General features: G+C 46.0%; 2 pseudogenes; both read right to left on the reverse strand.

The window, feature by feature from the left end:
* Window positions 3494-4196, reverse strand: APONP (apolipoprotein N, pseudogene; annotated as a pseudogene).
* Window positions 5577-9577, reverse strand: LOC100128676 (TBCC domain containing 1 pseudogene; annotated as a pseudogene).

Here is a 16571-nt window from a genome sequence, read left to right on the forward strand (position 1 = left end):
TTTGGTGGTGGGTGCCTGTAATCCCAGCTACTCAGGAGGCTGAGGCAGGAGAATGGCATGAACCCGGGAGGCAGAGCTTGCAGTGAGCCAAGATTGCGCCACTGCACTCCAGCCTGGGCGACAGAGCAAGACTCCATATCAAAAAACAAACAAACAAACAAACTAAAAAACACAGGGCAAAATCTTCATGACATTGAATCTGGCAATGATTACTTGGATATAACACCAAAGACACAGGCAGCAAAAGAAAAAAATGGGCAAATTGGACCTCATGAAAATTTTAAAATTTTGTACACCAAAAGACAATATCAACAGAGTAAAAAGGCAATCCACAGAATGGGAGGAAATATTTGCAATTATATACCTAGTAAAGATTTATATCCAGAATAAATAGAGAACTCCTAAAACTCAACAAAAACAAAAATGGCCTGACTCAAAATGGGCAAAGGGCATGAACAGGCATTTCTCTAAGGAAGCTATACAGATGGCCAATAAGGACATGAAAAGATGTGCAACATCTCTAATCATTAGGGAAATGCAAATTAAAACTACAATGAGATACTATCTCACACCCACTAGGATAGCTATTATTTTTAAAAAGAGAAAACGACAAGTGTTGTCAAAGATGTGGAGAAAATGGAACCCTTGTGCTTTGTTGTTGGGAATGCAAAATGGTACAGGCCCTGTGGAAAACAGTATGGCAGGTCCTTAAATTTGTTTTGTTTTTTTTTTTGAGACAGAGTTTCACTTTTGTCACCCAGGCTGGAGTGCAATGTCGTGATCTTGGCTCACTGCAACCTCTGCCTCCTGGGTACAAGGATTCTCCTGCCTCAGCCTCCCAAGTAGCTGGGATTACAAGCATGCACCACCATGCCTGGCTAATTTTTTGTATTTTTAGTAGAGATGGGGTTTCACCATGTGGGTTAGCCTGGTCTCGAACTCCTGGCCTCAAGTGATCTGCCCGCCACCTCAGCCTCCCAATGTGCTGGGATTACAGGCAAAAGCCAGCGTGCCCGGCCCTTAAAAATTTTTAAATAGAATTGCCATACAATCTAGCAATTCCACTTCTGGATATATATCCCAGAGAATTGAAAGCAGGATTTCAAAAAGATATTTTCACATCTGTGTTCATAGCAGTACTATTCCCAATAGTCAAGAAATGGAAGCAACCCAAATGTCTCTCAATGAACGAATGGATTTTAAAAATCCACTTGGTGGTGGATGGCCACAGCGGTTCATGCCTGTAATCCCAGCATTTTGGTAGGTTGAGGCAGGTGGATCACTTGAGGTCGGGAGTTCAAGTCCAGCCTGGCCAACATGGTGAAACCCGTCTATACAAAAATAATATAAAAATTAGCCAGGCATGGTGGCAAGTGCCTGTAATCCCAGCTACTAGGGAGGCTGAAGCAGGAGAATCACTTGAACCCAGGAGGCAGAAGTTGCAGTGAGCCGAGATTGCACCTCTGCACTCCAGCCTGGGCGACAGAGTGAGACTCTGTTTCAAAAAAAAAAAAAAAAAAAAAAAAAAAGTGCATACATGCAATGGAGAATTATTCAGCTTTAAAAAGGAAGGAACAGGATGGGCAACTTAGTCAGGTCCGGTCTCTAAAAAAAATAAATAAACAAAATTAATGGGGTGTGGAGATTCATGCCTGTGGTCCTAGCTACTCAGGAGGCTGAAGTGGGAGAATTGCTTGAGGCCCAGAGGTCGATGTCCATCCTGGGTGTCAGAGTGAGGCCCCATCTCTTAAAAAAAAAAAAAGGAAGGAAGGAAATTCTGACACAAGCTACAACATGGATGAACTTTGAGGCTATTATGATAAGTGAAATCAGCCAATTACAAAAAGACAAATCCTGTATAATTCCACTTATGTGAGGTATTTACAGTACTCAAATTCATAGAAACAAAGTGGAAGGGTGGTTGCCACAGGCTTCAGGGAGGGGAAGATAGGCAGCTGTTGTTTAACCAATATGCAGTTTCCATTTTGCAAGAGAAAAAGTTCTGAATGTGGGTTGTACAACAATGTAAATATACTTACCACTACTGAACTGTACACTTAGAAATGGTTGTGGGCTGGGCACAGTGGCTCATGCCTGTAATCCCAGCACTGTGGGAGGTCGAGGTGGGCAGATCACCTGAGATCATGAGTTTGAGACCAGCTTGGCCAACATGGTGAAACCCCGCCTCTACTAAAAATACAAAAGTTAGCCAGGTGTGATGGCAGGCACCTGTAATCTCAGCTACTGCGGAGGCTGAGGCAGGGAGAATTGCTTGAGCCCGAGAGGTGGAGGTTGCAGTGAGCTGAGATTGTACCACTGCACTCCAGCCTGGGTGACAGCAAGACTCTGTCAAAAAAAAAAAAAAAGAAAGAAAGAAAAAAAGAAATGGTTATGATGATAAATTTTGTTATGTGTTTTTTTTTTCTTTTCTTTTGAGACAGGGTCTTTGTCACCCAGGCTGGAGTGCAGTGGGGTGATCATGGTTCACTGCAGTCTCGACATCCTAGACTCAGGTGATCCTCCCACCCTAGCCTCCCGAATAGCTGGGACTACAGGCATGCATCACCACCTGCTAATTTTTTGTATTTTCTGTAGAGACGGGTTTTTGCCATGTTGCCTAGGTTGCTCAAGCAATCTGCCCGTCTTGGCCTCCCAAGGTGCTGGGGTATTACAGACGTGAGCCACCGTGCTTGGCTTGCTATGTGTTTTTTACCGTACAAAAACTAAACTAAAAAAAAAAAAAAAGGAAGTGAGAAAATGATTTTTTTCTAGGAGATTTTTTAAGATGAAGAAAATAAGTTTTCCAGTTGAGTGAACTCACAGGGTAACAGAAAATAGATGAATAAAGACCCATGCTTAGTGTCTTAGTCGGCTAGGGCTGCCATAACGCAAAACTACAGCCTGGATGTCTTATGGAATATAAATTTACTTCTGACAGTTCTGAAGTCTGGAAGTACAGGATTAAGGTGTCAGCAGTTTCAGTTGCTCCTGAGGCCTCTCTAATCGGCTTGCAGATTGCCATTTTCTCACTGTGTCCTCACATGGCACATGGCCATTCCTCTATCCCCATACACTCTGGGTGTCTCTTCCTTTTTCCTTTTTTTTTTTTTTTTTGTGAGACAAGGTCTGATTCTGTTGCTCAGGCTGGAGTCTTGCTCTGTCGCCAGGCTGGAGTGCAGTGGCTCCTTCTGGCTCACTGCAACCTCCGCCTCCCGGGTTCAAGCAATTCTTCTGCCTCAGCGTCCTGAGTAGCTGGGACTACAGGCTCACTGCAACCTCCACCTCCCAGGCTCAAGCCATTCTCCCACCTCAGCCTCCCCTGTAGCTGGGACTACTGGTGCGCACCACCATGCCCAGCTAATTTTTGTATTTTTGGTATAGACGGGGTTTCACCATGTTGGTCAGGCTGGTCTCGTACTTCTGACCTCATGATCTGCCCGCATCAGCCTCCCAAAGTGCTGGGATTACAGGTGTGAGCCACCACGCCCGGCCTGTTTGCTTCTTTTTGATAGGGATACTAGATTAGCTGTGAATCCCAGCCTTCACTGCAGGTTTAACACAGAGAGCCTGTGGATCCCCCTGACAGCCTCAGTATGATCATCAGGAGGTCACAGCCAAGATCTATGGCTCCATATCTGCCTCATTCCTTGGGTTTGACAGAGTAGTTCTGAGCAGCAGAGTACAAAGCTGTGCCTGAGTTTGTAGCAGATTCCCACTCCTGGTGACAGCTAGACTGCATTACAGACATGCTGCTTCTGCTCATGCCCACAGTCTACAGTAGAAAAGGTACACTTGCTCTGAATTAGGCTGAACCCTGCCTAGCAGCTACAGAACAGACATCAAGATATCCCCTGGGAAGCATCTACCTGGGCTGCTGTCCTTATGGCACCTTGTATCTGGTTGAATAAACACCGCATGTTTTCACATCCTCCAGCCTAGAGATGAAGCTCTGGGGTCTGGGAGTTAGCCTGGTGGTCAGCGTGCTCCAGGGCAATCCTCAGTGCAAGGTCTATCTGGATCCTTGGTAGAAGGACCAAGTGGGTGAGGCCAGGAAAGGTCTTTGGGAGCAGGGTCTGGCATAGTTAAGACCCTACAGAGCGCATCTGAATCCCTAGAGATTAGAAAAATGGCACCAAGGGTGTTTATCTAGGTTTCACAGGATGCAGCAGGAGGCAGTAAAGGAGCAGTCATCCTGGGTCTTAGGTGATGCCTTGCTGAGTCAGACTATGCTGGAATGAATGACAATACTCAAACTGTTTCTCCTGGTCTGAAAGGAGCCCAGGGCTCAGAAGACATCTCATGCAATAACCTTCAGCTTCTGTTCCTTTTAAGTTGGCCCCAAGAAAAGAGAATGGGACTCAATTATTCTTCTTGGTCTCCCCATTCCAGATCACCAGACTTCCTCTGCTTCACTTCCTAATTATGAGGCCCAAATTACTACACAATCCCGTCAGTGAGAAGTGGGACTGCTCTGATAGGTGTAGACACTCTGCCCAGTTCCCTGTCCCATGAGGAGGGGAGGTGATTGTTTTCCCCGATACTCAGTTAAGGGACATAATCTCTACAAATATTTGTCCTTTTGTTAAAATCTTCAGCCTCAAAAGACATTGGCATTTCCGTGTCCCTGTCACATTTCACCTCCAGTTCACAAAAGAGGCCACAGAGACCCAGAGTCAAGAGAAATAAGAAAACTGTGATTCTGATATAAAAGCAGCTTTTTATTTCTCTTTTCAGTTTGCAAATTAACATAAGCAAGCTACAGCATTCGGGTGGGGAGTTAGAAAGTACAAAGAAGATGAATGGGGAAAGATAATACCCTTCATATCTAGTACATAATAAATCCACAGTATTTGACAACTGAAAGAAAGATAAATTGGGGAGAAGAAATAGGAGCTAGGAACTACTAAGAGAGGGGCAAAACTGATTCTAGTCACATGTCTTTTAGCTCTGGAATCAAGTGAACATACATCTGTCCTAAGCTGTTCCCATCATTCTTTTTTCCTCTTCTTTCTCCTCCTCTGTTCAACATTTCTAACTACCTGCTATGCTATGCTGAGTCTCTGTACACAGGTCTATCAGAGACATTTGAGAAAGTAAATGTAGTGGTAGGCTAAATCAGCCTGAACATATTTCTAAATAAGCCTGAAAATATTTCTTTATCAAGTCCAGTAAAATGAGTTTCAGAATTTTCGTGGCACGAATGAAAAAGTACATCTGGGCCGGGCGCAGTGGCTCACGCCTGTAATCCCAGCACTTTGGGAGGCCGAGGCGGGTGGATCATGAGGTCAGGAGATCGAGACCATCCTGGCTAACACGGTGAAACCCTGTCTCTACTAAAAATACAAAAAATTAGCCGGGCGTGGTGGCGGGCGCCTGTAGTCCCAGCTACTCAGGAGGCTGAGGCAGGAGAATGGCGTGCACCTGGGAGGCGGGGCTTGCAGTGAACGGAGATTGTGCCACTGCACTCCAGCCTGGGCGACAGAGCGAGACTCCGTCTCAAAAAAAAAAAAAAAAGAAAGAAAAAGTACATCTGATCTTCTATATATAGGCATTGCAAAGTTCTTTTTTTTTTTTTATTCTTTAGAGTTTGTTTATTGAAAATTTGAAGCAGAAAATGAAAAATAAATATTTTTAGGCCGGGCATGGTGGCTCACGCCTGTAATCCCAGCACTTTGGGAGGCCAAGGCAGGCAGATCACCTGAGGTCAGGAGTTTGAGACCAGCCTGGCAACATGGTGAAACCCCATCTCTACTAAAAATACAAAAATTAGCTGGGCATGGTGGCGGGTGCCTGTAATCCTAGCTACTTGGGAGGCTGAGGCAGGAGAATTGCTTGAACCTGGAAGCCAGAGGTTGCAGTGAGCTGAGATCATGCCACTGCACTCCAGCCTGGGTAACAAAGCGAGACTCCCTCTTAAAAAAAAAAAAAAAAGTTTTTACACAGTTTCATTAAGTTCCATACTTTAAGGACTAAAATATAATAAAAACTATTTCTGCTATATCTATATACCAACAAATCATACTTTCCTTCCAATTATTTTTATTTATTTTTTCTGAGACAGAGTCTCGCTCTGTCGCCCAGGCTGGAGTGCAGTGGTGCGATCTCGGCTCACCACAAGCTCTGCCTCCCGGGTTCATGCCATTCTCCTGCCTCAGCCTCCCAAGTAGCTGGGACTACAGGTGCCTGCCACCACGCCCGGCTAATTTTTTTGTATTTTTAGTAGAGACGGGGTTTCACCGTGTTAGCTAGGATGGTCTCGATCTCCTGACCTCATTATCCGCCTGTCTCAGCCTCCCAAAGTGCTGGGATTACAGGCATGAGCCACCGTGCCTGGCCTCCAATTATTTTTTAAAAGGTGTAGCAATTTCCATTTATTTATTTATGTATTCATATAATTTTTGAGATTGGGTCTTGCTCTGTTGCCCAGGCTGGAGTGCAGTGGCGTGATCTCAGCTCACTACAGCCTCTGCCTCCCGTGTTCAAGCAATTCTCCCACCTCAGCTTCCTGAGTAGCTGGGATTACAGGGGCATGCCACCAAGCCCAGCTAATTTTTGCATTTTTAGTAGAGATGGGGTTTCACCATATTGGCCCCAGGCTGGTCTCAAACTCCTGACCTCAGGTGATCCACCTGCCTCAGCCTCTCAAAGTGTTGGAATGACAGGCATGAGCCACTGTGCCCGGTCGCAATTTCCTTGTAGTTACAAAGAACTATAAAACTCTTATTTAACTCTAGAAAGAATGAAATTCTTTCATCATACAAATTAATATACACAGTATAGTTGCAAATCTACACTCAATTGTGTTAATATTAACATATATACAATGCTACTACCTTCATCAACTTTTTCAGTTGGGCATCACAAAGATGAGTCTTCTGATGTTCTATAAACAATATGTTTATACGAAAGTCAGAAGTTTAGCTAAAATTCAGCCTACACAGTAATAAATGAATATGGAATGGAAATCAAATAAAGTTCTTAAATAGGATGAAAAAGTCCCAATGTCTCTTAAGCAGCAAGAGCACCTTCCCGCTTTAGTTTCAAGATGAGCACCATCCTCCATTTATCCTTGTATTTCCAGGGCCCAGTGTTTCCATGGAAGATCCTTATCCAGCCGCTTGTTTGGAGCCTGCTGCAGGGGGTACAAGGCTGTCCAGCTGTTGGCGATGTCCTGTATTAATCAACCATTCATAAAACTTGTTCTGGCTGGGCGCGGTGGCTCATGCCTGTAATCCCAGCACTTTGGGAGGCCAAGGTGGGTGGATCATGAGGTCAGGAGATCGAGACCATCCTGGCTAACATGGTGAAACCCTGTCTCTACTAAAAATACAGAAGAAAAAAAAAATTAGCCAGTGTGGTGGCGGGCGCCTGTAGTCCCAGCTACTCGGGAGGCTGAGGCAGGAGAATGGTGTGAACCCGGGAGGCGGAGCTTGCAGTGAGCTGAGATCACACCACTGCACTCCAGCCTGGGCGACAGAGCGAGACTCTGTCTCAAAAGAAAAAACAAAAACAAAAACTTGTTCTCTATCAGTACCTGGAACTGCTTCCTTTGATCCTATGTCAAATGAGCCTCCTTCACAGTTTTCTGCCAGATCTGTACCTTCTGTTCTCTTTGACCCAGTGCTTTCTGATATACAGATGGAAGACTCCCAGGAATCCCTGTTGTGCCCTCTTCCATTTCAAAGGGAGTAGTAAATATATAGAATTCAGAAGGTGGTAAAAGCCAGAAGACACCTGTGTCGCTGTTCTTTCCGCACACAACCATTAGATTATCCCAATAGTTAGGCACTGTAGCAAGGCCAGTCCTGGCCATATGGTTCTCTTTTGACCAGGATTAATGCTGGGTCCATTACCTAGCATTGGGTAATGGGTATGAAAAGGGGCAAAAGTTACTATCTTGTTCCCAGAGAGAATGAGTGGGCACGTAGGCGTCAGAATGTGAAAGACGCAACCTGTCGTAGAAGAGATGGACAAACGATGGCAAACAGCAATGACTTTAATGTTGTCACAACTGTGGAGGTAAATCATAGTTGCTACAGGGCCCAAGACAAAGGTGCTAGTCCTGCACTTCTCAATTGTCACAGATCATAAGGGAGAGAGTAGATATATAAAAGATTCGTTGCAATGATGAATCTTTACATGTGTCCCCACCAGAGTATCTGAGCTCTTAGCCAATGTCTGCTTGTAAACCTGGCTCATCACCATCATGTGGTGTATCCTAGGGGCCACATTAGAATTACAAGTAATCTGGGACAGGTGTGGTGGCTCATGCCTATAATCCCGGCACTTTGGGAGGCCGAGGCAAGTGGATTATTTGAGGTCAGGAGTTTAAAATCAGCCTGGCCAACATGGTGAAACCCTGTCTCTATTAAAAATAAAAAAATAAGCCTGGTGTGGTGGTGGGCACCTGTAATCCCAGCTACTTGGGAGGCTGAGGCAGGAGAATCGCTTGAGCCAAGGAAGCAGAGGCTGCAGTGAGCAGAGATCACGCCATTGCACTCCAGACTGGGTGAAAGAGTGAGACTCCATCTCAAAAAAAAAAAAAAAAAGAAAAAAAAGAAAAGGAAAAAAAAGAAGAAGAATTACAAGCAATCTTAGCTCTTTTGGTTGTCCCTTCAATTTGATGAGCCCAAGCCAATTTCTTTCCAGACTTGAGGCAAGTTGATGTACCAAATGGATTCCCAGTCAAACAGGACCTCAACCAGGGTTCCAGCTTGTAGAAAGTCTTAGAGATCTTTGAGAAGCCACTATCTGCATGCAGTGGTTACCACAGTGCAAGTTCATGAAGTGGATAGATCTTCCTGGCGCTTCTTATTCTACCTTCAATAAGGAAGCTTCTTGAGACACTAGACTACTATGGTTTGAACGAAATGATGCAGTGAGTTGTCCTGGATCTAAAAGCAGCTCGGGAGATCAGACAGATGATCATAGACAAAAGCTTGATATCTGTAATCATTCCAGTTCTTATTATGACAATTAGATTTTTCAGTCAGGTCAGGAGACTGAGATCTGTTTCTGGGACTAGGCCACTCTTCTCCAATCAAAGATGTCCTTAGTAGAGGCCTTGTTCAATTGTTGAATGTATAAGAAGAGCAGAAACTGCAGGGTGTCCACTGAAAGCTGATTTCTCTGCTTTTCAACTTCCTCCTCAGACATGCAGTTGGACAAAACCTCAGACCATTCCAGGCACTCCTCAGCTATCTTCACTGAAAGACTATCAGATATTTCAAAGTAAAGCCACATCAGGTCCTTGGCCAACTGCAGCTTCCCACAAGCGATGTGCCTCCATGTAGACCAGTAGAGGCGTGGGGAAGATCCTTCTGTGGCCCGGATTCGCACATAGTTGAATATCTTCCTGAGATAGTGAAGACTAAACTTGGATGGAGCGGGGGACCTGCAAGGCACCCACTATAAAGGGTTCTGCTTGCACCCAGAGGATAACTCTGGGCTCATCCAAGTTATCTCTAAGGACACCTGGGTGAAAACGCGTCTTTGCATACCTGCTAAGGCAGGTGCCCTCTGCCGCACTTCTCCGTGTGAGCACCACGGCGCCCCGCATCCCTTCACTGACTGGGCCTGACCCTCGCCCTGGCCTCGTGAAGTTCTTTTTTTTTTCTTTTAAATTATTAACTAGATATTATTTATTTATTTTCAAGACGGGGTCTCGCTCTGTTGCCAGGCTGGAGCGCAGTGGCATGATCTCGGTCACTGCAACCTCCGCCTCCCGGGTTCAAGTGATTCTCCTGCCTCAGCCTCCCGAGTAGCTGGGACTATAGGCACATGCCACCACACTGGCTAATTTTTGTATCTTTAGTAGAGACAGGGTTTCACTATGTTGGCCAGGCAGGTCTTGAACTCCTGATCTTGTGATCCACCCGCCTCAGCTTCCCAAAGTGCTGGTATGACAGGTGTGAGCCACTGCGCCTGGCCATTGTGAAGTTCTTAACTTCAGAGTTATTCATCAGCCGTTTGCCTACTTCTTCCAAATGCTCCCAAGACTCATCCGTGCACTTCTGGGTGACACTGACAGCAGAAGCTGTTACCAGCTTAGGGGAAGGGAGCTTCTTAGTAAATTCAAACATCAGCACTGCTGTCTCATACAGCACCTGCCCATATCTATAGGTATATGCCTCAGGAAGGGTAACGGGAGTGCTGGACCCGCATAAGCTCCCCTGGGGTTCTCCCCAGATCCCTCACGATGATATTAGTATTGCCAATCACTTCCTCCTCCTTGAGCTTTTGACTCTCATGGATGAGGGTTTCAGTAGTATCCTTTCCTCCCATCCTAATGAGCTGAAGCTACAGAACATGGGCCTCAGTTGGGCAGCCCACCTCCTCCAAGGCCACCCTCAGAGCTAATTTGGACAGGTACTCAGGCAGAGGGGCTAGGGATGGGGCTGTGTGTAAGAGATCCTCGCTGGTCCTGGGATCTGGGAGAGGAATCTGGCTCTCCCAGAAATGGGAGATGGATGCCCAGTCTCTGGAAAAGACAGCTGGAAGGTTAGGGCCCCACTTTGGGCATTTCTTGGAAAGGCAGCTACCAGGGGCAGCAAGACACAGCAGAGGAGCAGCACAGCCTGGACCATGGGGGGACAGCAGAGCAGCCCTGCTGGAAGGAAGCAGTGCTCAGGTTGGGAAGTGGAGAAAGGCTCAGGACAAAAAGACACCAAGACTGGCCAGAGCTAGAAAGTGTCTTAGCTCTTGGAAATTTCAATTGCCCTGAACACACCTCACCCTCACTCTTAAAGGATGTAGGTGATCCTCACCTGCTCCAGAAAAACAAGCCAGGAGTTGGCCCAAGACACATTCTTTGCTTCAGTGTTTCCCTAATCTGAATGACTACTTTTTAGATCTGACGTCTTTACCCCAGCCAAAAAAGCTGATGCCTTCTAAGAACAGTGAAGAATGTAACATTCACAAATATTTATCTACCTTTTCCTGGCCCAGAATTTGTCCTTCTCACCTTTGTCCCACGCCGACAAACATTTTTCCCTTCATGGCTTCTGCTTCTCCTGCCCCATATCCTTGTCACCCTAAGGATTTACCCTAGACCTAAACTTAGATTTAAAAAGTTTCCTCTGTACCTTCTGAGGAAACAGGGAGGAGAGAAAGGCAGGGGTGCCTTTCACCTCTGGGTAGGAGAACTGCTCTGGCCTGAATGTTTGTACCCTCCAAAAATCCTGTTAAAACTTAATCCCCAATATGGGAGTATTGAAAGATACAGTCTTATACCTGTAATCCCAGCACTTTGGGAGGCCAAGGTGGGCGGATCACCTGAGGCCAGGAGTTTGAGATCAGCCTGACCAACATGGTGAAATCCCGTCTCTACAAAAATACAAAAAAAATTAGCCAGGCATGATGGCCGGTGCCTGTAATCCCAGCTACTGGGGAGGCTGATGTAGGAGAATCACTTGAACCCGGGAGGCGGAGGTTGCAGTGAGGCAAGATCACGCCATTGCATTGCAGTCTGGGTGACAGAGCAAGACTCCGTCTCCAAAAAAAAAAAAAAAAAAAAATTGAAAAGAAAGGTACTGTCTTTAAGAGGTGATTGAGTCGGCTGGGCGTGGTGACTCACACCTGTCATCCCAGCACTTTGGGAGGCCAAGGCAGGTGGATCACGAGGTCAGGAGATTGAGACCATCCTGGCCAACATGGTGAAACGTCATCTCTACTAAAAATACAAAAATTAGCCGGGTGTGGTGGCATGCGCCTGTAGTCCCAGCTACTCAGGAGGCTGAGGCAGGAGAATATCTTGAACCCGGGAGGCGGAGGTTGCAGTGAGCCGAGATCGTGCCACTGCACTCCAGCCTGGGTGACAGAGCAAGACTCTGTCTCAAAAAAACAAACAAAAAAGAAGAAGTGATTTGGTCATGAGGGGTCTGCCTTCATGAATGGATTAAAATGCGTTTCAGAATGATTAATTCATGGATTAACAGATTATCAAGGGAGTGTTACTGGTGGCTTTATAAGAAGAGAAATACTGGAGCTAGCATGCTGAACCCCTTTGCTGTGTAATGCTCACAGCCCAGGCCACATTAGGACTCTAGAGTCCCCACCATGAAGAAGGCCCTCACTGGATGCTGAGCCATAGCCTTGGACCTTCCAGCTACCAGAATTGTAAGAGATAAATTTCTTTATAAATTACCCAGTTTTAGGTGTTCTAAGCAACAGAAAACAAAGAAAAGACTCTAAAAGAGTTATTACAGGCCGGGCACGGTGGCTTATGCCTGTAATCCCAGCACTTTGGGAGGCCAAGGTGGGCAGATCACCTGAGGTCAGGAGTTCGAGAACAGCCTGGCTAACATGGAGAAACCCCGTCTCTACTAGAAATATAAAATTAGCCGGGCATGGTGGCACACACCTGTAATCCCAGCTACTTGGGAGGCTGAGGCAGGAGAATCACTTGGACCCGGGAGGCAGAGGTTGCGGTGAGCCGAGATGGCACCATTGCACTCCAGCCTGGGCAACAAGAGGGAAACTCTGTCTCAAAAAAAAAAAAAAGAGTTATTACTCTATGGACTTATCAGGTAGATGACTGGGAGAATAGAATCTATTAGCAAGTCAGACCAAATCAGAGTAACTTTTTAGTCTTTACCTATTTAATTCCAATGCAATACCCAAATTGAACACATTCATTACCATGCTAGAACCACTTTCTAAGCTTATATCAAAACAACATGAATTGGGCTTCATCTCTCTTCTAGGGGTATCTACAGTTTGGAAAATAGGGAAAGATGGCATATAGTTCCTCCTACAACTGGTAAAAGGGCCCACATAATTGTACACTAATGGGAGGCACCTAATGGTTCCTCCCTGAGCTATGACCAACCTCTGGCAGACAGCCAAAGGAAACAGGCCAGTGAAGAAGTCCAGGCCAGGCCAGGTGCAATGGCTCTTGCCTGTAATCCCAACACTTTGGGAGGCTGAGGTGGGTGTATTACGTGAGGTCAGGAGTTTGAGACCAGCCTGGACAACATGGTGAAACCCTGTCATTACAAAAAAATACAAAAATTAGCTAGGCATGGCGGCAGTGCCTGTAGCCCCAGCTACATGGGAGGCTGAGGTAAGAGAATCACTTGGAGCCGGGAGGTGGAGGTTGCAGTGAGCCAAGATCACACCATTGCACTTCAGCCTAGGCGACAAGAGCAAAACTCCGTCCAAAAAAAAAAAGAGGTCCAGTTCACTCACTTCTCTTAGTCCCCAGAAAAGGCACCTAACAATGAAGAAATCAGAAAAAAAACTTTTAAAACAGGGAGCTACTGGGACACACACCTAAAACTGAGAGAACTAGATGTAGAGATATCCAAACCTGTCACCCGAATCTCAAGCCTCTACTGCTGCTGCACAGCTCAGGGAGATTTTTGGATCTTGTCTAAGTCTCCCATTTCTGACCTGAGTTCACCAACCATAACTGGACCCATCTCCTCCTCTAGCCTTCTGGTTCTTCAGCTGGCATCCTCATCCTCAGTATGTATCTTAGTTTATTTGTGCTGCTATAAAGGAAATACCTGAGGCTGCGTAATTTATAAAGAAAAGAGGTTTATTTTGCTCATGATTCTGCAGACTGTACAAGAAGCATGGTGTGGCTGGGTGTGGTGGCTCATGCCTGTAATCTTAGCTTTTTGGGAGGTGAAGGTGGGTGAGTCAGGCTGAGGTCAAGAGTTTGAGACTAGCCTGGCCAACATGGCAAAACACCATCTCTACTAAAAATACAAAAATTAGCCAGATGTGGTGGCAGGCGCCTATAATCCCAGCTACTCAGGAGGCTGAGGCAGAAGAATTGTTTGAACCCAGGCGGCAGAGGTTGCAGTGAGCTGAGATCATGCCACTTCACTTCAGCCTGGGTGAAAGAGTGAAACTCCATCTCAAAAAAAAAAAAGCATGCTGCCAGCATCTGCTTCTGGGCCTCAGAAGCTTCCACTCATGGTAGAAGGCAAAAGGGAGCAGGCAGCACACAGCAAGAGTGGAAGGGAACAACAGGGGAGGGAAGTGTCAGGCTCTTCTTAATAATCAGTTCTTGCAGGAACTAAGACAACTCACTCATTCCCTCGAGAATGGCACCAAGCAATTCACGAGGGATCCACCCCACAATCCAAACAACTCCCACCAGGCCCCAGCTCCAACACTGGGGATCAAATTTCAGCATGAGACTTCGAGGGGACAAATATCCAAACTATTTCAGTATGAAACTGCCTTTTCTCAGAAATTCTTTGAATTTCTAACTCTGGCGCTTTGGGAATGACAGGGGAAATTGAATGCATAAACATGGGAGGGGACAGGGAAAGTGGGGTTGAGTTTATCTTCAGGACTGAGGAGTAGAATGACAGAGGACATGAAGACAAAGGCAGGTCCCCCAACCAGACCTCCTGCCCTTGTCTGCCACGTGTTCCTCATCAATGCCCAGCCGTTGTCACTTCTTGCGCACTTGGGTTTTCATTATTGTTGTTTGTTTTTAACTAATAGAGTATTTTTTAGGGCAATTTTAGGTTTACAAAAACATTGAGCAGAAAGTAGAGTTCCCATATAATCCCTCTTCCCACACCCCTCAGTTTTCCCTATTATTAACATCTTACATAGGTGTGCTACATTTGTTATAATTGATTATTGTATTATTATTATTGAGACAAGGTCTCACTCTGTCACCAAGGCAGTAGTGCAGTGGTGTGATAATAGCTCACTGCAGCCTTGACCTCCCAGGCTCAAGTGATCCTCCTGCTTTAGCCATCCATGTAGGTGGGACAACAGGCATGTACCATGATGCTTGGCTAATTTTTTAATATTCTGTAGAGACAGGGTCTCACTTTGTTGCCCAGGCTTGAGCTGATTCTGGAAGGATGGCTAGTGGTTGGATAGAACCCTCCAATAAAGAGACTGGCATGATCCACAGCTTGGGGCATGAAAAGGCCTGCTCTGTGTGGGTGACTGAAAATAGTCAAGGGGGGCTGGGAATGGTGGCTCACGCCTGTAATCCAGCACTTTGGGAGGCCAAGGTGGGTGGATCACCTGAGGTCAGGAGTTAGAGACCAGCCTGGCCAACATGGTGAAATCCCATCTCTACTAAAAATATAAAAAATTAGCTGAGTGTGGTGGTGCACACCTGTAATCCCAGCTACTCGGGAGGCTGAGGCAGGAAAATTGCTTGAAGCCGGGAGGTGGAGGCTGCAGTGAGCCAAGATTGCGCCACTGTACTCCAGCCTGGGCAACAGAAAAATGGACACTCTGTCTCAAAAAAAAAAAAAAGAATTTTTGCAGAGGCTGGGCTTAGTGACTCACGCCTATAATCCTAGCACTTTGGGAGGCCATGGCAGGCAGATCACTTGAGGCTAGGCGTTTGAGACCAGCCTGGACAACATGGTGAAACTCCATCTCTACTAAAAATACAAAAATTAGGCCTGGCGTGGTGGCTCATGCCTCTAATTCCAGCACTTTGGAAGGCTAAGGCGGGTGGATCACCTGAGGTCAGGAATTCAAGACCAGCCTCGCCAACATGGTGAAACCCTGTCTTTACTAAAAATATAAAAATTAGCCAGGCGTGGTGGCCTGTAATCTCAGCTACTCCGGAGGCTGAGGCAGGAGAATTGCTTGTACCTGGGAGGTGGAGGTTGCAGTGAGTCGAGATCATGCCATTGCACTCCAGCCTGGGCGACAAGAGTAAAACTCTGTCTCAAAAAAAAAAAAAAAAAAAAAAAAAGGAAAGAAAGAAAGAAAGAAAAATTAGCCAGGTGTAATCCCATCTACTTGGGAGGCGCTGAGGCACAAGAATTGATTGAACCTGGGAGGCGGAGTTTCAGTGAGCCAAGATCATGCCACCGCACTCCAGCCTGGGTGACAGAGCAAGACTGTCTCCAAACAAAAAAAAAAAAAAGAATTTCTGCAGACAGAATAGAAAATGAACTTGAACTAAGGAACTAAAGGAAGAAGAGATTAGAGGGAGGAACCCTAGAACCCTAGAGAGCCAGCTATTTTAAGAGTCTAGGTCAGGCCAGGCACAGTGGCTTATGCCTTTGGGAGTCCAAAGCAGGAGGATCACTTGGGCCCAGGGGATTGAGACCAGCCTGGACAGCATAGTGAGACCTTGTCTCTACAAAAACTTTCAAAGTAGCTGAGCATGATGGTGCATTCCTGTAGTCCCAGCTCCTTGGGAAGCTGAGGTGGGAGGATCACTTGAGCTCCAGAGGTCGAGGCTACGGTGAGCTGTAATCGCACCACCGCACTTCATCCTAGGTGACAGAAGGAGATCCTATCTCAAAAAAGGAAAAGAAAAAAAAAAGAAAAAGAAAAAAAGGAGGAGGGGATGCATTTTGGTGGTTGAACCAATGTATTATAGTATGTGTCTCATTCTCTTAAGCTCCGTCAGCAGCAGCTGCAGTAAAAACAACTTTATTTGATCTATGACCCTGGGTGGTGGAAGTTAAGGAGGAGGGAAGCAATTAGTTTCCTGGAGTCCCAACCTTAGTCCCAAGAGGTCTCTTTTACATACATGGAGAGCCAGTAGCTGAATGGGACAAAAAAGAACCCAGGAAGTAAGTGAAAGGTCTTTAGACAAAATGGGTATGGGGTTTCTTTTTGGG

This window comes from Homo sapiens, chromosome 12 (genome assembly GCF_000001405.40).
Source record: "Homo sapiens chromosome 12, GRCh38.p14 Primary Assembly".
Taxonomy (NCBI): Eukaryota; Metazoa; Chordata; class Mammalia; order Primates; family Hominidae; genus Homo; species Homo sapiens.